Source organism: Homo sapiens, chromosome 12, assembly GCF_000001405.40.
Source record: "Homo sapiens chromosome 12, GRCh38.p14 Primary Assembly".
Taxonomy (NCBI): Eukaryota; Metazoa; Chordata; class Mammalia; order Primates; family Hominidae; genus Homo; species Homo sapiens.
Window position 1 is genome coordinate 103,607,424 of NC_000012.12, and position 22,573 is coordinate 103,629,996.

General features: G+C 43.3%; 1 protein-coding gene across 6 annotated transcripts in view; it reads left to right on the forward strand.

Annotated features, from left to right (window-relative positions):
• Positions 1-22,573, forward strand: part of STAB2 (stabilin 2) — a 179,447-nt gene that overhangs the window by 20,151 nt on the left and 136,723 nt on the right. For all 6 annotated transcript variants that reach the window (XR_007063104.1, NM_017564.10, XM_011538537.3 and 3 more), the window contains exons 4-5: positions 13,045-13,130; positions 14,619-14,688. Coding sequence is in view for 5 of the 6 variants with exons in the window: in NM_017564.10 (NP_060034.9) it covers positions 13,045-13,130; positions 14,619-14,688 (156 nt within the window). In the remaining variant the exon portion in view is untranslated. The remainder of the gene's footprint in view (positions 1-13,044; positions 13,131-14,618; positions 14,689-22,573) is intronic.

Sequence of the window (22,573 nt, forward strand, 5' to 3'; positions counted from 1 at the left end):
ATGTGCGCAACGTGCAGGTTTGTTACATATGTATACGTGTGCCATGTTGGTGTGTTGCACCCATTAACTCGTCATTTACATTAGGTATATCTCCTAATGCTATCCCTCCCTCCTCCCCCCACCCCACAACAGGCCCCAGTGTGTGATGTTCCCCTTCCTGTGTCCAAGTGTTCTCATTGTTTAATTCACACCTATGAGTGAGAACATGTGGTGTTTGGTTTTTTGTCCTTGTGATAGTTTGCTGAGAGTGATGGTTTCCAGCTTCATCCATGTCCCTACAAAGGACATGAACTCATCCTTTTTTATCGCTGCATAGTATTCCATGGTATATATGTGCCACATTTTCTTAATCCAGTCTATCATTGATGGACATTTGGGTTGGTTCTAAGTCTTTGCTATTGTGAATAGTGCCGCAATAAACATACGTGTGCATGTGTCTTTATAGCAGCATGATTTATAATCCTTTGGGGATATACCTAGTAATGGGATGGCTGGGTCAAATGGTATTTCTAGTTCTAGATCCCTGAGGAATCGCCACACTGACTTCCACAATGGTTGAACTAGTTTACAGTCCCACCAACTGTGTAAAAATGTTCCTATTTCTCCACATCCTCTCCAGCACCTGTTGTTTCCTGACTTTTTAATGATCGCCATTCTAACTGGTGTGAGATGGTATCTCGTTGTGGTTTTGATTTGCATTTCTCTGATGGCCAGTGATGATGAGCAGTGATGATGAGCAGAGCCTCGCTCTGTCGCCCAGGCTGGAGTGCAGTGGTGCAATCTTGGCTCACTGCAAGCTCCGCCTCATGGGTTCACGCCATTCTCCTGCCTCAGCCTCCTGAGTAGCTAGGACTACAGGTGCCTGCCTCCAAGCCTAGCTAATTTTTTTTTTGTATTTTGAGTGGAGACAGGGTTTCACCGTGTTAGCCAGGATGGTCTCAATCTCCTGACCTCGTGATCCGCCCGCCTCCGCCTCCCAAAGTGCTGGGATTACAGGCATGAGCCACCGCGCCCAGCCTATGATAAGCATTTTTTCATGTGTCTTTTGGCTGCATAAATGTCTTCTTTTGAGGAGTGTCTGTTCATATCCTTTGTCCACTTGTTGATGGGGTTGTTTTGTTCTTGTAAATTTGTTTGAGTTCTTTGTAGATTCTGGATATTAGCCCTTTGTCAGATAAGTAGATTGCAAAAATGTTCTCCCATTCTGTAGGTTGCCTATTCACTCTGACGGTAGTTTCTTTTGCTGTGCAGAAGCTCTTTAGTTTAATTAGATCCCATTTGTCAATTTTGGCTTTTGTTGCCATTGCTTTTGGTGTTTTAGACATGAAGTACTTTCCCATGCCTATGTCCTGAATGGTATTGCCTAGGTTTTCTTCTAGGGTTTTTATGGTTTTAGGTCTAACATTTAAGTTTTTAATCCATCTTGAATTAATTTTTCTACAAGGTGTAAGGAAGAGATCCAGTTTCAGCTTTCTACATACGGCTAGCCAGTTTTCCCAGCACCATTTATTAAATAGGAAATCCTTTCCCCATTTCCTGCTTTCGTCAGATTTGTCAAAGATCAGATAGTTGTAGATGTGTGGCATTATTTCTGAGGGCTCTGTTCTGTTCCAATGGTCTATATCGCTGTTTTGGTACCAGTACCATGCTGTTTTGGTTACTGTAGCCTTGTAGTATAGTTTGAAGTCAGGTAGTGTGATGCCTCCGGCTTTGTTCTTTTGGCTTAGGATTGTCTTGGCAATGCGGGCTCTTTTTTGGTTCCATATGAACTTTAAAGTAGTTTTTTCCAATTCTGTGAAGAAAGTCATTGGTAGCTTGATGGGGATGGCATTGAATCTATAAATTACCTTGGGCAGTATATCCATTTTCATGATATTGATTCTTCCTACCCATGAGCATGGAATGTTCTTCCATTTGTTCGTATCCTCTTTTATTTCATTGAGCAGTGGTTTGTAGTTCTCCTTGAAGAGGTCCTTCACATCCCTTGTAAGTTGGATTGCTAGGTATTTTATTCTCTTTGAAGCAATTGTGAATGGGAGTTCACTCATGATTTGGCTCTCTGTTTGTCTGTTATTGGAGTATAAGAATGCTTGTGATTTTTGCACATTGATTTTGTATCCTGAGACTTTGCTGAAGTTGCTTATCAGCTTAAGGAGATTTTGGGCTGAGATGATGGGGTTTTCTAGATATACAATCATGTCATCTGCAAACAGGGACAATTTGACTTCCTCTTTTCCTAATTGAATACCCTTTATTTCCTTCTCCTGCCTGATTGCCCTGGCCAGAACTTCCAACACTATGTTGAATAGGAGTGGTGAGAGAGGACATCCCTGTCTTGTGCCAGTTTTCAAAGGGAATGCTTCCAGTTTTTGCCCATTCAGTATGATATTGGCTGTGGGTTTGTCATAAATAGCTCTTATTATTTTGAGATACGTCCCATCAATACCTAATTTATTAAGAGTTTTTGCATGAAGGGCTGTTGAATTTTCTCAAAGGCCTTTTCTGCATCTATTGTGATAATCATGCGGTTTTTGTCATTGGTTCTGTTTATATGCTGGATTATGATTATTGATTTGCGTATGTTGAACCAGCCTTGCATCCCAGGGATGAAGCCCACTTGATAATGCTGGGTAAGCTTTTTGATGTGTTGCTGGATTCGGTTTTCCAGTATTTTATTGAGGATTTTTGCATCGATGTTCATCAGGGATATTGGTCTAAAATTATCTTTTTTGGTTGTGTCTCTGCCAGGCTTTGGTATCAGGATGATGCTGGCCTCATAAAATGAGTTAGGGAGGATTCCCTCTTTTTCTATTGATTGGAATAGTTTCAGAAGGAATGGTACCAACTCCTCCTCGTACCTCTGGTAGACTTCGGCTGTGAATCCGTCTGGTCATGGACTTGTTTTGGTTGGTAAGCTATTAATTATTGCCTCAATTTCAGAGCCTGTTATTGGTCTATTCAAAGATTCAACTTCTTCCTGGTATAGTCTTGGGAGGGTGTATGTGTCGAGGAATTTATCCATTTCTTCTAGATTTTCTAGTTTATTTGCGTGGAGGTGTTTATAATATTATCTGATGGTAGTTTGTATTTCTGTGGGATCGGTGGTGATATCGCCTTTATCATTTTTTATTGCATCTATTTGATTCTTCTCTCTTTTCTTCTTTATTAATCTTGCTAGCGGTCTATCAATTTTGTTGATCTTTTCAAAAAACCAGCTCCTGGATTCATTAATTTTTTGAAGGGTTTTTTATGTCTCTATCTCCCTCAGTTCTGCTCTGATCTTAGTTATTTCTTGCCTTCTGCTAGCTTTTGAATGTGTTTGCTCTTGCTTTTCTAGTTCTTTTCATTGTGTTGTTAGGGTGTCAATTTTAGATCTTTCCTGCTTTCTCTTGTTGGCATTTAGTGCTATAAATTTCCCTCTACACACTGCTTTAAATGTGTCCCAGAGATTCTGGTATGTTGTGTCTTTGTTCTCATTGGTTTCAAAGAACATCTTTATTTCTGCCTTCATTTCATTATGTACCCAGTAGTCATTCAGGAGCAGGTTGTTCAGTTTCTATGTAGTGGAGCGGTTTTGAGTGAGTTTCTTAATCCCGAGTTCTAGTTTGATTGCACTGTGGTCTGAGAGACAGTTTGTTATAATTTCTGTTCTTTTACATTTGCTGAGGAGTGCTTTACTTCCAACTATGTGGTCAATTTTGGAATAAGTGCGGTGTGGTGCTGAGAAGAATGTATATTCTGTTGATTTGGGGTGGAGAGTTCTGTAGATGTCTATTAGGTCCGCATGGTGCAGAGCTGAGTTCAATTCCTGGATATCCTTGTTAACTTTCTGTCTCGTTGATCTGTCTAATGTTGACAGTGGGGTGTTAAAGTCTCCCATTATTATTGTGTGGGAGTCTGAGTCTCTTTGTAGGTCTCTAAGGACTTGGTTTATGAATCTGGGTGCTCCTGTATTGGGTGCATATATATTTAGGATAGTTAGCTCTTCTTGTTAAATTGATCCCTTTACCATTATGTAATGGCCTTCTTTGTCTCTTTTGATCTTTGTTGGTTTAAAGTCTGTTTTATCAGAGACTAGGATTGCAACCCCTGCCTTTTTTTGTTTTCCATTTGCTTGGTAGATCTTCCTCCATCCCTTTATTTTGAGGCTTTGTGTGTCTCTGCATGTGAGATGGGTTTCCTGAGTACAGCACACTGATGGGTCTTGACTCTTTATGCAATTTGCCAGTGTGTCTTTTAATTGGAGCATTTAGCCCATTTACATTTAAGGTTAATATTGTTATGTGTGAATTTGATCCTGTCATTATGATGTTAGCTGGTTATTTTGCTCGTTAGTTGATGCAGTTTCTTCCTAGCCTCGATGGTCTTTACGATTTGGCATGTTTTTGCAGTGGCTGGTACCGGTTGTTCCTTTCCATGTTTAGTGCTTCCTTCAGGAGCTCTTGTAAGGCAGGCCTGGTGGTGACAAAATCTCTCAGCATTTGCTTGTCTGTAAAGGATTTTATTTCTCCTTCACTTATGAAGCTTAGTATGGCTGGCTATGAAATTCTGGGTTGAAAATTCTTTTCTTTAAGAATGTTGAATATTGTCCCCCACTCTCTTCTGGCTTGTAGAGTTTCTGCTGAGATATCCACTGTTAGTCTGATGGGCTTCTCTTTGTGTAACCCGACCTTTCTCTCTGGCTGCCCTTAACATTTTTTCCTTCATTTCAACTTTGGTGAATCTGACAATTATGTGTCTTGGAGTTGCTCTTCTTGAGGAGTATCTTTGTGGCATTCTCTGTATTTCCTGAATTTGAATGTTGGCCTGCCTTGCTAGATTAGGGAAGTTCTCCTGGATAATATCCTGCAGAGTGTTTTCCAACTTAGTTCCATTCTCCCCATCACTTTCAGGTACACCAATCAGACGTAGATTTGGTCTTTTCACATAGTCCCATATTTCTTGGAGGCTTTGTTCATTTCTTTTTATTCTTTTTTCTCTAAACTTCTCTTCTCACTTCATTTCATTCATTTGATCTTCCAATCACTGATACCCTTTCTTCCAGTTGATCAAATTGGCTACTGAAGCTTGTGCATGCATCACGTAGTTCTTGTGCCATAGTTTTCAGCTCCGTCAGGTCCTTTAAGGACTTCTCTGCATTGGTTATTCTAGTTAGCCATTCATCTAGTCTTTTTTCAAGGTGTTTAACTTCTTTGCCATGGGTTCAAACTTCCTCCTTTAGCTCGGAGAAGTTTGATCATCTGAAGTCTTCTTCTCTCAACTCGTCAAAGTCATTCTCCATCCGGCTTTGTTCCATTGCTGGTGAGGAGCTGCATTCCTTTGGAGGGGGAGAGGTGCTCTGATTTTTAGAATTTTCAGTTTTTCTGCTCTGTTTTTTTCCCCATCTCTGTGGTTTTATCTACCTTTGGTCTTTGATGAAGGTGACGTACAGATGGGGTTTTGGTGTGGATGTCCTTTCTGTTTGTTAGTTTTCCTTCTAAGAATCAGGACCCTCAGCTGCAGGTCTGTTGGAGTTTGCTGGAGGTCCACTCCAGATCCTGTTTGCCTGGGCATCAGCAGCAGAGGCTGCAGAACAGCAAATATTGGTGAACAGCAAATGTTGCTGCCTGATTGTTCCTCTAGAAGTTTTGTCTCAGAGGGCTACCCGGCCGTGTGAGGTGTCAGTCTGCCCCTACTGGGTGGTGCCTCCCAGTTAGGCTACTTGGGGGTCAGGGACCCACTTGAGGAGGCAGTCTGTCCGTTCTCAGATCTCAAGCTGCGTGCTGGGAGAATCACTACTGTCTTCCAAGCTGTCAGACAGGGACATTTAAGTCTGCAGAGGTTTCTGCTGCCTTTTGTTTGGCTATGCCCTGCCCACAGAGGTGGAGTATACAGAGGTAGGCAGGCCTCCTTGAGCTGCAGTGGGCTCCACCCAGTTCGAGCTTCCCGGCCACTTTGTTTACCTGCTGAAGCCTCAGGAATGGCGGGAGCCTCTCCCCCAGCCTCGCTGCCGCCTTGCAGTTTGATCTCAGACTGCTGTGCTAGCAATGAGTGAGGCTCCGTGGACGTAGGACCCTCCAAGCCACGTGCGGGATATAATCTCCTGGTGTGCCGTTTGCTAAGACCACTGGAAAAGCGCAGTATCAGGGTGGGGGTGACCCGATTTTCAAGGTTCCATCTGTTACCCCTTTCCTTGGCTAGGAAAGGGAATTCCCTGACCCCTTGCACTTCCCGGGCGAGGCAATGCCTCGCCCTGCTTCAGCTCACACTAGGTGCACTGCACCCACTGTCCTGCACCCACTGTCTGACAATCCCCAGTGAGACAAACCTGGTACCTCAGTTGGAAATGCAGAAATCATCCGTCTTCTGCGTCGCTCATGCTGAGAGCTGTAGACTGGAGCTGTTCCTATTCGGCCATCTTGGAACCCTCTCCTCTTCATTTTGTATAGTTAATACTGCTTGTCTTTAAGTTCACTAATCTTTTATTTCTCAGTCTTTAAACTGCTGTTAATTCTATATCTTGTATTTTTATTTTGAACATTGTATTTTCATTGGTAGAAGTTCAATTTGGTTTTGTTTATATCTTTCTTCTTTTTTAACTTGCTTATTTCTCTACCTTCTTGAATACATAGAGTACAGTTATAATAACTATTTCTAAATCTTTGTCTACTAATAATATCATATATGTGATCTCTGGGTTGGTTTCAATTAACTGGTGTTTTCCCTCAGTATTTATGCCTAGTAAGTTTTATTGAATTCAGACATTGCAAATATTACTTTGTTGGGTGCTTCTTATTCTTGTACTTTAAAAAATTCTTGAACTTTTTTCTGTGTCCATTTTGAGGTGTACCCTGTGTTAGAGATTTGTTGCCATTGACAGAGGGCTGAAGGCATAGAGTGGAGCTCTTTGAGAATTTTAAGAAGAAATAATATGAATTTTAGCACCTGGTGGATAAGTTTACAGAATTTTCTTTCATTGCAACATACCTGGTGGTACAATTTAGGAGCTAAGTTTCCTGCTGACCTCTAGCCACTGGAGGCTATACCTTTTTACCAAAATAACCTAACTGCTGATTAGTCAAAGTGGCTTTAAGTCAGTGTACAAAATCTCCCTATGAACAGCACTGGCCTTCCACCAGCTGCCCAGTGCTACAGGTTTTTCTAGGCAACTAGAAAACAACTTCTGTTGTTTCTAGGCAAGTCTTGTTCCAGTTAAGTGTTCAGGAACTTTCTTCTTGCTAAGTTCATCCACATCAGAACCTTTCTGAAGCACCAGAAACATTGCCTAGTGTCCAGCTGATACACCACACAACCATCCCATGCAAAGGCACATCAACTCATAGGCATTGCTTCCCAGCAGCCTCCTAGGCATAAAAACCTTCACTTCCTCTCTGTTTAGGACATTCTACATAAATTTGTCGAGCACACCCAGTGGTTCTCAAATATTAATGTGTAGTGGAATTACCTGCCATGCCTATTAAAATGTTCTTTCCTGAGTCTTACACCAGGGAATCCCTATTTGGTAGGTGTTAAGTGTCAGGTTTTGCATAAAATTGTAGCAGGTTCTTATTGCCCAAGGGGATGAAATTGGACTGAAATTCAGCCCATTCTCAGCTTGCCAAACCGTACACTCTAGTGTGGGCCTGGTATACCAAGAGGAAGGGGCACCTTCAATTTATTTTAGTTTCATCTGCTTTCTAAGCCTAGTGTCTGTGGGGATATATCCACAAGAGCAGTGAGGGTAGGGATGATTTTTCTAATTTGCACAAAGGCTGTCTATGCCCTGGCATATTAGTCCAGGGCTTCCAAAAGGGAGATGTCAGACAGGGCTAGAGATACAAGAGATTACTTAGAGGAAACAGGTGTGATGAAAAAAATGAGAAGAAAGCCAGGAGAAGCAGAGGGAGACACCAATGCAGGTCTGACCCTTGTGAACAAGAGAGGGAGTCAAGGAAAGTTGGATGGAAAAGCTTTAGACTATATGTAGGTCTGAGAAAAATTGGTAAAGCTGATGGGGAGTCCTCTAGCCAAAATCACCCACAGAGGAAGCCTGCATCTTAAAGGAGTGGGCCTGCCCTGGCATCTCTACCATGCTCAGTCATGGACTAGAAGGAGTCATGAGAAGTGTAGTCTCATGAAAAAATAGTAGATTTCAAGGTAATTATGCTTCTGAAGTTGGAGATCTAAGAGGTGCTTGTTAATGGCTCGCATACTGTATTAGTCCATTCTCACACTGCTATGAAGAAATACCCAAGCCTGGGTAATTTATAAAGGAAAGAGGTTTAATTGGCTCACAGTTCTGCATTGCTGGGGAGGCCACAGAAACTTACAGTCATGGTGGAAGGCAAAGGAGAAGCAGGCACCTCTTCACAGGGTGGCAGAACAGAGTAAGTGCAAGCAGGGGAAATGCCAGACACTTATAAAGCCATCAGATCTCGTGAGACTCATTCACTATCACAAGAACAGCACGGGGGAAACTGCCCCATGATCCAATTACCTCCACAGGGTCTAGCCCTTGACACATGGGGATTATAATTCAAGATGAGATTTTAGGTGGGGACACAGCCAAACTATATCATATACCTAATGAGGAGGGCCTTGGAAATCTGCCTTTGTAAAAGTTCCCCACTCCCAAGGGATTCCAAACACCTTGTCCAGTGAATCACCCTTAGAGGAACACCTGCCTAAATTTTTTAAAAGAAAGGTATATTAACTGTCCCTAAGGAAGAAGAATGTCCAGACTTCCTAAACACAAGGTCACACTCTTGGGAGCTTGGATTGGGGAAGCTCTCCAATTCCTCTCTGATCAGTGTAGCCCAGAGCATGGTTATATTCTCAACAAATGACTCTGCCCCATGTTCTGCCACATGTGTTATAACAGGAATGAGCTGAGTGGAACAGGCACCAAGATGATGGAAGTCAAATCTGCCTCAGAGGCAGGGTCAGGGAAAGGGTCTTTGAAGGTGGGAAAAGCACAAGTAAGGAATGGAGAGAAAGGCCTGTCTAGAAGAGCAGGGAATAGTCTGTTTGGCTGCATGGAAAGAGTGCAAGATGGGGAGATAAGTTGGTTCCATGCTTGGAGGAACAGATTCAGTGGAATGTGAGTTTGGGAGACTGGGATTTAGGCATCATTGCCTGAAAATGTAAAAATACCTGGGAGGACATTTCTGCAAGGTGGCACTGATTGCTGAGTCTCAGGCTTCAGGAGGCCCTGTGTTGTTCTGAGCAAGCCCAGAAGGCAAACTGGGTGTCACCCAGAGAGCTCCTTGTACACCCATTTCTGGGGAGAGGTACAGGGAACAAGAGAGGGAAATAGTTGGGGAGCTGTCACTACCTTCCTAGCTCTGCACAGGGCTGGCCCTGGCTCCCAAAACACCATCTCAGCTCAAGAGGGGCCTCCTATAAAAAGCAAATAGAAGAACTATTTGATGGTGAACGATTTATGAAGATGCTCTCTTAGCACACTTTGCTCAACAATATGAGTGAACTCAAATGGCTGAGTTGGTTTTCAGATTGGCTCCCAAGTGTTTACCTGGTCCCTGCTTGATTCAGCTCTCTCCCTTCCTCTACATCCTCACCTCCTGCTGCTCATCCTTAGACAAAGACCAAAATCTTTAACAAGGCCCTTTCTTCATGATCTAGCTTTTGCCATCTGTTGAGATCAGATCTAAACCAACTGGGCCATTCAGAACTAGATTATTTTTGGTAAATATTGGTAAGTAACATCAAGTAGATGAAGTGATGAGAGCTCTAGATCTCTTCCCCTGACAACCCTTATCCCAGTCCATCAATCAGTATTACCGGAGTGTCTGTTAAATCCACAACTCTCTCCGCACTAGACTGGTAGGATCATGGAAATAAGAACCAAGTCTGTATGCTCACTGGTAAATATCAAAGATCTTAGATGGTCGGATTCAAACAAGTACGAGTAATTTATTTCCTGAGTGTTTTAACTGTTACAATACCAATCTGAAAAAACAAAACCTAAAGAAGATCCACTCTGAATAATAGCAACTATCATTCGTTAAGCACCTAATATTTCCAATCCCTACTACAACCTACCTAGAAGACAGTATGGTCCCCACATACACCTGAACTGAATCTCAGAGTCAGGCATTGACTTTGCCAAAAGCAAAGGGTTATAAGCAAAGAGTTTAGCTGGGATTTGAACCCAGAACATTCTGACTGCAATGTCCCAGCTCCTCCCATGACACAATCGCATCGCATTTCATGCCACTACTAGCCTAGTTGGTGAGAGCAACCCAAACCAATGTCTTGCTTTTCGAATACTTATGAATATTAGCTACCCATCAGTATTTCTCCCCCTTCCCTTGCCCCACAAACATGCCTGTTACCTGAGCTGTTGTCCTGGGGTGCATACCTGCCTGATAATGGTGGATGTTAGTGATAAATGGTGCAGTAGATTCTGGAGCATCTTTCCAGGTTTTGAGCCTGGCTCTGCCACTGCTGTGGAAATACCACAGATCAAAATGGGCAATTTAGACTGTGTCGTTTACTAATATTCTGGATGCAGGAAGGAAATGGAAGGAGCCCCAGAGAAAACCATCTACAGATGGATATGACTCCCACCTCCATAGTACCTGCATGTTATGAATGTTCTTCTAAAGAACTAGCCTAGTAACTTAATGGAGCCCCCAGGGTCTCTTTCAGAGAGCTGCATTTCTTAGTGCTTAGAAGTCTCTTTCTTCAAGAACTGCTGCTATGGTCTGAATGTTTGTGTCTCCCCAAAATTCATATGTTCATACCTAATCCCCAATGTGATTGTATTAAAAGGTAAAAGTCTTTGGGAGGTGATTAGGTCCTAAGAACAGGGCCCTTATGGATGGGATTAGTGCCCTCATAAAAGAGACCCCAGAGAGCTCCCTCACCCCTTCCACCAAGTGAAGATACAGTGAGAAGTCACCATCTATGAACCAGAAAACAGGCCCTCACCAGACACAGAATCTGCCAGAACCTCGATATTGGACTTCCCAGACTACAGGACTGTGAGAAATAAACTTCTGTTGTTTATAAGCCACCCAGTCTAAGACATTTTGTTATAGCAGCCTGAATTGACTAAGACAACTGCATTTTTATTTTCCACGGATGCTGATTTCACATGCCACAGGGAAGATGTATGGCAGAATGAGCTGTGGCACAGGAAAGCTTATGGCAAAGGTCTTATGTGATGGGGATGAGAGGGAAGGGACAGCAGGAAGGTGGTCACTTCAGTAGAGGAAAGCTAAGTGTGTCTATCATTACCCCTTGCCAGCTGGGTGACTTTGGCCAAGTCACTTAACCACTCTGTGCCTGTTTCCTCATCTAGAAAGTATGGCTAAAAATAAGATTTAACTTCAGAGGATTGCTGTGAGTTGTAAACAAATGCATCCTTTATTATTATTGATATGGCTTGGCTCTGTGTCCCCACCCAGTCTCACCTTAAATTGTAATAATTCTCACGTGTCATGGGAGGGACCCAGGGGGAGGTAATTGAATCATGGGGGCGGGCCTTTCCCATGCTGTTCTCATGATTGTGAATAAGTCTCACGACATCTGATGGTTTTATAAAGAGGAATTCCCCTGCACATGCCCTCTTGCCTGCTGCCGTGTAAGACGTCACTTTGCTCTTTCTTTGTCTTCTGCCATAATTTTGAGGCCTCCCCAGCCATGTGGAACAGTGAGTCCATTAAATCTCTTTCCTTTTTAAATTACCCGGTCTCAGGCATGTCTTTATTAGCAGCATGAGAATGGACTAATACAATTATCTAGAACTTCCCGTCTTGTGGGAGGCACTTACCTTGCTAACTTAAATGGGGGAACATTTCATCTTGCCTCATTCACACAGACACATTTCATGGTCATTGCATGGTTTCTGCTTGGTGCTTGCAGGTCCAGATTTCTAATTTAAACAGTCAGAGCTCATCCATATTGGCAATAAACCCAGGTCAACTCAGCACTCAAAGTGTAGAACAACAGCAAGTATAAAAAGAAATAGAATTTCTTTTCATCCTCATCACAATAGTACCTTAAACTTCTGTCACTTGCCATAATTTTTAATTCTCTATTTGATTGTGGGCATTGTAATTTCTGGCTTTCTAGCTAAATGTCCCCCTGCCCCACCATGAAATATAATGCTTGGCACATATTAGGATATTCCCTGAATGTTTAGTGAATGTCCTCTAATAAATGTCCATAAAAGCTACAATTCAGATCTAGAATATCACAGAAGTACAAAAATTTATGCACATTAGGAATCAGCTTCCGAATAAAATCTAAATTCCTTTGCTTACCATACTAGGCACTTCATTAATTGGCCCCAACTGTCCCATTTTACCTCATCAGCAACGCCCCCCGCCCCCGCCACCCCACAACTCTCACACCCAGCTCCCAAGTCCCCAGCCCCATAAAACTCTGTCATTCCCAGAACAGGTCATGCCCTTTTACAATTCCAAGACCTTGTACTTGCTATTGCCTCTTCCTGAAATATCCTTTCCTTTTAAGCATAGCCAATTCCTACTGCACCTTCAAAAGCCCCATTTAAATAACTCCTCCTCAGGGATGTCTCTCGGGCTCCCTAAGGCAGCATCAATACCTCCCTTCTCTGGACTCCCTCAATACCCTGTCTAGCACACCTATGAAGAGGCCTGGCCTTAGTCAAGCCAAGGGCTGAGCTTAAAGTCCTAGCTTTACAACTTACAAACTGTGAGACCTTGGGTGAGTATATGCAACCTCTCTGAAACTGTCTTTTCATCTGCTAACCAGCACCAATAGCAACCACCCCTGAAGGTTGCAATAGGAGTGATCTAATTTGATCATTGTGAAGTGTATAGCAAACTCTCAAGAAATGGTAGATAGTGTGATACTTTCTAATACAGCACATGACCACATTGCAATTCACCTGTGTTTACTCCTGCCTTTTCTGTAAAACCCTAGATGACACCAACAGGTTCTGCAATTATTTCTTATCCCTGGCAACTAGCACACTTAGTAGGTGTTTAAGCGCATCCTTGCAGAATGCTTGTGTGCAGTCACGAATGAATACATCTGAGCTGTTTGATTCCCTAGAGTGCCCAGGTGGAGCGGGGTCACCCTGCAATGGCAGAGGCAGTTGTGCTGAAGGCATGGAAGGAAATGGAACCTGCTCCTGCCAAGTAAGTTCAAAAATGTGTTCTTCCTTTCCTGGTTTCTGCTCCCCATCTTCTTACCTGTTGATCCTCCTTAAACACACACACACACACACACACACACACACGTGCACACACACATATACAGCGAAGTTCTTAAGCAGTGAAGGTATTAATTTTTTAAAAATGTGCAATTTGCAACAAAATGACCATTTATAGCCTGGGGGCCTTTAGGAGAGTCAATTAACTGCTCAGTCTTAAGCATATCCACTTGTAAAAATGGGTTTGAGGCTGGGAGCAGTGGCTTACGCCTGGAATCCCAGCACTTTAGGAGGCCGAGTGGGGGAGGATCACGAGGTCAGGAGATCGAGACCATCCTAGCCAGCATGGTGAAACCCCGTCTCCACTAAAAATACAAAAATTAGCTGGGTGTGGTGGTGGGCGCCTATAGTCCCAGCTACTCAGGAGGCTGAGGCAGGAGAATTGCTTGAACCCAGGAGGCAGAGGTTGCAGTGAGCTGAGATTGTGCCATTGCACTCCAGTCTGGGTGACAAGAGCAAGACTCTGTCCACCCCCACCCAAAAAAAAAAGTTTGAAACAGTATCTATGTAATAACATTTGTTGAAAAAGTAAAATGAGGCCATATATGTGAAAATACTTTATGACACTATATAGGACTATAGAAATTGCTGTCATTGTTAATATTAATAATCACTATTAGCAGACAAACCTTATGGTGCTATCCTCTGCATCCTTTGTGAACCGTTAGGCTTACCGGTTCAAGATTTTCTTTTACCAGTTGAAGAATTTCTTCGTTATCTCATGAAAGTGACTTTTTGCACATTTCAAGCCCTGGGGGATTTAAATACAAGGAAATCCTTCTGAAAAGGATTGAGCTCAACTGTCTTCAGAAATGCAAAACTGAGGTTGGGCAGGTGGCTCACGCCTGTAATCCCAGTACTTTGGGAGGCCAAGGTGAGCAGATCACTTGAGGCCAGGAGTTCGAGACCAACCTGGCCAACATGGTGAAACCTGTCTCTACTAAAAATACAAAAATTATCCGGGTGTGGTGGTGTGCACCTGTAATCCCAGCTACTCGGGAGGCTGAAGCAGGAGAACCTGGGAGGCGGAGGTTTCAGTGAGCCGAGATCGTGCCACTGCACTTCAGCCTGGGTGACGGAGCGAGACTCAGTCTCAAAACAAAAATGCAAAACTGAAAGCATTTTCCTTTCCCCCTTGGGCAAAGTTGGGATATGGCTGCTAGCACTTGCTATCTATTTATATCTTTGGACTGACAAAGCAGCTTTCTCCTGCAGAGCTTCAGACCCTTAGTACAAAATGACATGGGGATTAATGCATGCAATGATAACACAAATAAACAGAAAGAAGAAGCTCCAGGATAGGCACAGAGGGAAAATATATTTGAAAAACAAATGCTGAGTTGGAAATCCAAGGCCTTCCTTGGTACCATGGGTCACCTTGGGTCTAATGTCAACCACCTGGGGTGTTTTGCAGGAAGGGTTTGGTGGAACAGCCTGTGAAACCTGTGCTGACGACAACTTATTTGGACCCAGCTGTTCATCAGGTATGTCTGATTTTTGTGTAATCACCACATTTGTAAGGGTTGACAGTCCATGAGAAAGATTGCTCCTTGAGGAGAAAACACTGAATAGTTATGTGTGATAAAAAAGAAATTTCAGCAGAATTAAATTTAAAGGAGTTTAATCGGGCAATGAACAATTCATGAATCAGGCAGTTTCTGGAATCACAGCAGATTCACAGAGACTCAGTGAAGCCATGTGATGAAAGAAGATTTATAGACAAAAAAAGGGAAATGACATACAGCAATCGGAAGTGAGGTACAGAATGGCTGGATTGGTTACAGCTTGGCATTTGCCTTATTTGAACACGGTTTGAACACTCAGCAGTATATGAATGATCCAAGTATGGCTGCTGGGATTGGCCAAAACTCAGCTATTGTTACAGGTGCATACTCCTAAGTTAGGTTTTCAATCTCATCTACCTATTAAGCTAGGTTGCAATTCATCCACAAGGACTCAAATATGGAAGTACAGAGTCCTTATCAAGTCATGATTAGTTCACTTTAACATGTGTAACCAAGTCTACATAGAGAAAACAAAACAACAAAGCTGTTAAATGCAGTCATTGAAAACAGAGACAGTGTTTCCTGAGGTTCTCAGCCCTGGCATGTGCAGTCAGCTACTCCCCGGAAATGCTTCCACCCATCTTTATGATTCCCTCTCCCCAGGCTCTAGGATTCCACCACTGCCTGTTCTTTGCCTGCCCAGCTTTTCTCTGGGCTCTTTCTGGATCCTGGTCTCAGCATAGATCCATAGGCTTCCAATTAAACCGTGGGCCCCACCTAATTCTAATGGTTCCCTTCCTTTTGGGAGTTCACAAATAATTCCCTAAGGTGGTCAGTGATTGTTGCTCCAAATTAAAGAAACAAATTTGAGACTGGCTTGTTCACTCTCTTATTTTTGGCTGCCCCCAGAAGTAGACTCTGAGATAGAGATTTGAGTAACAAGTAGTTAGTTTATTTGAATGGTGATCCCAGGAAACACGAGGATGTGAGGAAGTAATATGGGGAAAATAAACAGGATGTTATTAAGCCAGGTGCCACTGTGAACCACTGGAGCCTGATGCCCCAGGGAGCTCTGGGGGTCGGTGCAGAACACACAGCTCAGTCATCTCACCTGAGGGGAAAGGAGCCATAGTGTGGTGGGCAGAATAACGGCTCCCTGAAGATGTCCACATCCACATCCAAATCCCTAGCACCTGGGAATATGGTACCTTACATGGCAAAGAGAAGTTAAGGTAGCAAATAGAATTAAGGTTGCTAATCAGCTGACCTTAGGATAAGAGATTATCCTGGGTTATCTGGGAAGGCCCAGTGTTAATCACAGGGGTCCTTAAGGATGGAGAAGGGAGGCAGAAGAGGAGTGTCAGAGTTACGAAATATGAGAAAGACTCGATCCGCCAATTTCTGGCTTTGAAGAAGGAAGAGCCATGAGCCAAGGAATGTGGGTGGCCTCTCGAGGCTGGAAAAGGCAAGGAAACATGTTCTCCCCAGAGTCTCCAAAAAGGAGCACAACACTGCCAACACCTTGATTTTAGCACAGTGATTTTGGATTTCTGAACTTCAGAAATGTAAGACAATAACTTTGTGTGGTTTTAAGACACTAGGTGTGTGGCAATGAGTTACAGCAGCAACAGGGAATTAATATACATAGTCAAGTGGGGAGAGTTTTTCACTCCCTGCCACTTAGAGTGTTTATAGGGAGCACCCAGGCCAAGCGCTCGTCCTAAGGTTCACACAAAACCCTCAGGCTAAGAGCTGTGGATCCTGGAAGTTAGCTGGAATGCTCACAATCGCAGTCAGTAAGGTCTAAAGAATGTGGGCATGGTAGAAACAGTGTCTGCTAGATCCACGTCTCCCAAAAAGGAATATATTGGGTAGCTTTTTGCCAACACCACTTGGGCCCTGACTTTCGTGGAAAAATTAAACTCAGTGGAAAACTGCTTCGATTCAAATATTTTTGGCAAGAAAACCTATGCACACACAACACATCCCACCCCCATAAGTTTGCAAACTCTGTAATAAGTTTTATCTGCAATTGCAGAGGCATTGCCTTGTTCTAATCCATAAGGTCCTCTTAGGCAGGTGCTGTGGTATCTTTATCTCCAGTACCTTCTACGTGCTGCCTGCCTGGTAGACACTCACTACACTGTTTTTGGATGAATACATGAGTGAGTGAGTATATGACTAGGTGAATCAATGAATGAATTATCTAGCTTGCTCCAGTGATGTTCTCCTGACCCAGAAGCATGGTTTTAGAACCCAGGCTTTAGACTCAGACAAGGTTTCAGCTCTAGGCCTGCTAATCATGGAGACATAGGTAAGTTTATGAAGCATGCTATCTGTGACTTCATCTGTAAAGATAGAAATAATATTGCCTCCTTTAGAGAGGATTTAATGGGATAAGTGCATAATAAATGTTATGATTATTATTCCCTAGCATCCCCTAATCATAGGTGTTTCTTCACCCACTGTCCCATAGAGATTATTTCATAAGACTGTTAGCAAAAGCAAATTTAAAACAGATATTGGAGCTGGGCTCAGTGGCTCACGCCTGTAATCCCAACACTTTGGGAGGCTAAAGCTGGATCCGTTGAGGTCAGGAGTTTGAGACCAGCCTGGCCAACATGGTGAAACCCCATCTCTACTAAAAATACAAAAATTAGCCGTGTGTGGTGGTGCGCACCTGAAATCCCAGCTACTTGGGAGGCTGAGGCAAGAGAATCACTTGAATCTAGGAGTCTGAGGTTGCAGTGAGCCGAGATCGTGCCACCACTGCACTCCAGCCTGGGTGACAGAGCAAGACTCCATCTCAAAAAAAAAAAAAAAAAAAAAGGATATTGGTGTCCCGTGTGTTTTTAAAGTTAAACATTACATTAAAGGACAGCAACTAAAATGTAATCAGTCAACTATATAGAAATAGCATGTCTCCTCCCAAATTTACCCTTCCCTGCCATTTAAGAATTTAAATCACATAGGCTAAATAAATATTGAAATGGGAAGGAGTAAATAAAGCATCCAGCGTTGCTTAGTTCCCAAGAAAGCCTAGTAATTGTCTGGAGATGACAAATTAGGAAGAAGACCCATGTTATCTCCAAGACACTGGTGTTGGTTACTGATGAGCACAGATGCGCAGGGAAATTCCCAACATTTCCAAATAAAGGAAGTATCCTCCCTTCACACTTAGTGTTGTGGAGAAAGGGCAAGTGAAAGGGAGAATGATGGTCTCAACACCTAAATTTTTTTTTTATACTTTAAGTTTTAGGGTACACGTGCACAACGTGCAGCTTAGTTACATATGTGTACATGTGCAATGTTGGTGTGCTGCCCCCAGTAACTTGTCATTTAACATTAGGTATATCTCCTAAAGCTATCCCTCCTCCTTCCCCCCACCCACAACAGGCCCCAGTGTGTGATGTTCCCCTTCCTGTGTCCATGTGTTCTCATTGTTCAGTTCCTACCTATGAGTGAGAACATGCGGTGTTTGGTTTTTTGTCCCTGCGATAGTTTGCTGAGAATGATGGTTTCCAGCTTCATCCATGTCCCTACAAAGGACATGAACTCATCATTTTTATGGCTGCATAGTATTCCATGGTATATATGTGCCACATTTTCTTAATCCAGTCTATCATTGTTGGACATTTGGGTTGGTTCCGAGTCTTTGCTATCGTGAATAGTGCCGCAATAAACATGTGTGTGCATGTGTCTTTATAGCAGCATGATTTATAATCCTCTGGGTATATACCCAGTAATGGGATGGCTGGGTCAAATGGTATTTCCAGTTCTAGATCCCTGAGGAATCGCCACACTGACTTCCACAATGGTTGAACTAGTTTACAGTCCCACCAACAGTGTAAAAGTGTTCCTATTTCTCCACATCCTCTCCAGCACCTGTTGTTTCCTGACTTTTTAATGATCGCCATTCTAACTGGACAATACCTAAATTTTTAAATAAGAAAACTGGAAACTTAAACTGAGACCCAAGAGAAAAACCTCCAAGCTCTGGATTCCAATAGAACTTTCTGTGATGATAGAAATATTGTCTGTTTGCACTGTCCCATACAGTAGCCACTAGCCACATATGACTATTGAGCACCTGAAATGGGGCTAGTGCAACTGAGGAGTTAAAATTCAAATTTCACTTAATATCATTTAATTCAAATTTAAATAGCCACATGTGGCTCGTGGCTACCAAATTAGACATCATAGTTCTAGGACGTAACAATTAAGAGAACAGGCTTTAAACTCAGCCTGACCATAGTTTGAAACAGACCCTAATTGCTGTGTTACCGAGGGCAAGCTATTTAAATTCCCTAAACCTTTCTCATCTATAAAACAGGAATAATAACATCTATTTCTTGGGATTGACAACACAGCAAAGCTCTTAGTATTATGTCACAAGCACTCAATCAATGGAAGTATTAAGTGAGGACAAAAGTAATCCAACAGCAAGCAAGTCACGGATGAATGAATGGATGAATGAATGACTCAGCGATGCCTGGTCATTTCCCACTGACAAGGACTATGGAGACTGCAAACCTTTTCATCCAGGCATCTACTGGGTGCCAGTGTTGTGTCATCCAATGAGATGTTGGTCCCGGGAGGTGGCCATTCTGCCTGTAAGTAGGACAGCTCTATTAGGTGCAGTTTATTTTTAACACTGGCTGTAATCTTCTGTGGGGGCACTCTCCTACCAGACTGCTTGTTGGTTTAGAGATAATTTCGAGCTGCACCAGCCAAAGATTTTCATCTCTGTGGCCAGTGCCCCAGCCTGCTCAGTGCCTCCTTCCCAGCTAGCCAGATTGCAAAGCCCGTTTTCTCTAACATGATCCCCAAATCAATCACACAACCATGTACTGTTAAGAAGAGTCACTAGTATTTGCTGGGCACCTGCTGTGTGTCAGACCATGTGCAGAGGGATTTCTTTGGATCCTCACTATGACTCTCCAAAGGAGGTGGGGGTTCTCCTTTTACGGATGAAGAAGCAGAGAGGGTTGCTCAAGGCCATGCAGCTATTATGGGGGCAGAGGCAGGATTTGACCCCACATATGTGACTCCAGAGCCTGGGCCCCTAAGCACTGCCCCAGTCTGCCTCTGGTGAGTGTCCATCATACATTACACACCAGACAGGTGAAGTGGATCCTAAGAGTGATGAGATTAGGTGCCCAGTCCCAAGGAGCTGGAAATGTGGGTGACAACTGTGATGATGCAGAGTGCACAGCCCAGACCAGATCCTATGGGAGCACAGGAGAGGGAGCAGCTTACTCTGCTATGGGGCATGTCACAGGAGCATACCATCCCTCTGACCAGCACGGCCATGGCTTTCACCACTTTAAAGTCACGCCACCCAAGTTTTATGTGTCTCTAGAGATTTGCTGAGACTGGTTAGCAAGTACCAAGGGCTCTTTCAATGATGATCTGGGAAACCCTCTGCCACTTACGTCTCCTTCCCAAGGGCATGTTCCTGGCAGCAGCTGGCAGCCTGCAATGCAGTGTCAGAGGCTTCCAAAAGCTGCCAGTGCCAGGCAGTCAATCCAGTATAGAGGCTGTAGTGGAAGATAGCATGAAGGGAGAGGCTCATGCCAGGGCCATGGGCCAATACCACACAGCCAGGAGGGCAATCTTAGTGACAAGGACAACACTTGTAATTTGCATCTGAGTTGGGAGCAGGAGCCCTCTGTGCCCCTCACCTTCCTCCACTGGGTGCATGACAACAATTAGGGCAGGAATCATCACTGTATCTCCTAGAGCCTGGCTTCCCACTACACTGTGAGCTCCTGGACTTTAGATATTATCAATTACTGACATGTTGTATACCTAGTGCCTAATACAGTGCCTGCTACTAGGTAGGAGCTGGGTAAATATTTTTGAATTGAATTGAATCTTCTCCACTGAGCCCATAGTACACTCCCTCCTCACCCCACTTATCTCCATAACCAACTTGACTGCTCTCCAGAACTTGTTTATTCCAAAAATCCACAGCCATAGGTAGATATCAAAGTGCTTGGCTAAAATAGAAACAATGTCAATTGAGTTTTGAAGAGAGGATGACACTGCAAATCCAATTTAATTCTTCAGTTATTTGAGGGACTACTTGAGCTAGTTATCTCCCATTTTTTCATGTGTGATACACTGGTAGTAATGATACCTACCTCAAAGGATGTGGTAAATTAGATAATGCATGACAACACACTTGGCAAAATGCCTGATAGATAGTAAGCACTCAATAAAGAGAAGTGTGGGGCCTTGGGTGCAAAATTTAAGGAGGCATCAAAAAAACTCAGTAATCAAGACCAATAACTGCACTGATTTCCTAGGGCAGCTGCAACAAAGTACTGCACACTGGGTGGCTTAAAACAACAGCAACTTATTGTCCCAGTTCTGGAAGCGAGAAGTCAAATATCAAGGTGTTGGCAGGGCCATGCTCCTTTTGAAGCTTCTAGAAGAAGGTCCTTCCTTGCTTCTTTCATCCTCTGGTAGCCCCAGCTGTTTTTGGTTGTGACAGTATCACTCCAATCTCGGCCTCCCTCTTCACATGCCTCTTCACCTAATGTCTGTGGCATCTCCCCTTCTTATGAGGACACCAGTCAAATTGAATTATGGGCTCACCTTACTCCAGTATGACCTCATCTTAACTCATTACATCTGCAATGACCCTATTTCCCAATAGGGGCATTCTGAAGTACTGGGGATGAGGACTCCACCATATTATTTTGGGAGACAAAACTCAACCCATGACAATAATACTTTAAAAATTATTGAACAAAACATCAAAATGCTAAATAACAGCAGGATGCAGCTCTGCACTTGCACAACCCTGTTTCACTCTCCTCACCCTAATCCTGGCCCTGCCAGACAATGTCTTTATCTAAAATTTAGTTGTGTAGTTGTTGGTATTGTTACAGGGCACCGTAAAAGATGTGGGGAAATACAGAGGTGGGGAGGTCATTCCAAGCAGTTCCAATCTAATAGGGGAGAAAAAATACACAGATTGAGAAAGAAAACAGCAGCCCTGACAGCTGTCCCCTGGCTGCTGGCCTAGTTGCTACCAGAGAGGCTGTGGTGTTCTGCTGCTGAGCATAAACGATGTCACAGAATATCACCATCAGAAAAAAGACTCACCATATCCATGGAGGAAAAGACAAAAACTAAGCCAGGGAATAATCATGTCTGAACAGAGACTCAACAACAATGGACAACCATGAGAATTACCCAGCAACTGCCTCTCCTGGCTGATATAAGAGCCTACTGCTACTTCTCCCAGAATGGCTCACCCTTGCTTCTGACTTGGTTTGACCATTGGTGCTCTCCTGGTGGTCTTCAGCTGTCAGGCATTAACAAACCTCTAGTTGTCGTAGGGTGCAATAGTGGACACGGAACAAAGAAAGTGCTGCTGGAGCCAGAGGAGCACAGATTGTTTGGAGACCACTGAGATGGCAACACAGAAGTGGGGGCTTTGGCTGGCCTTGAAGGATTCCAGTTAGCACACAAAAGGGAGCACAGCAGAGGAAAAGCCTGGAGGTGTGAACGTGCAAGATGCATTTCCTGCTGCTTCCACCTGGCATGGTCTTCCCTGGGCCAACCCCACTTTATCTTTTCCTGGCCAGCTCCCATTGGTTGGTCATGTCATAGCATTTATCCCAGTGCATTGTGATTGGCTGTTTTCTTCTGCCATTAGATTTTGATCTCTTTGATGGCAGAGACTTTGTCCTGTTTATTTTTGGGCATTAATCTCTAGTGCAGTACTCTGAACATAATATGTATTCCATAAGTGTTTTGAAGGAAGGAAGATGAATAGTGAATGAATCATCCCACATGCTAAGAATCTAAGATGTATAAAATAAAGTGGTGAAAGATGAAAATGAAATTT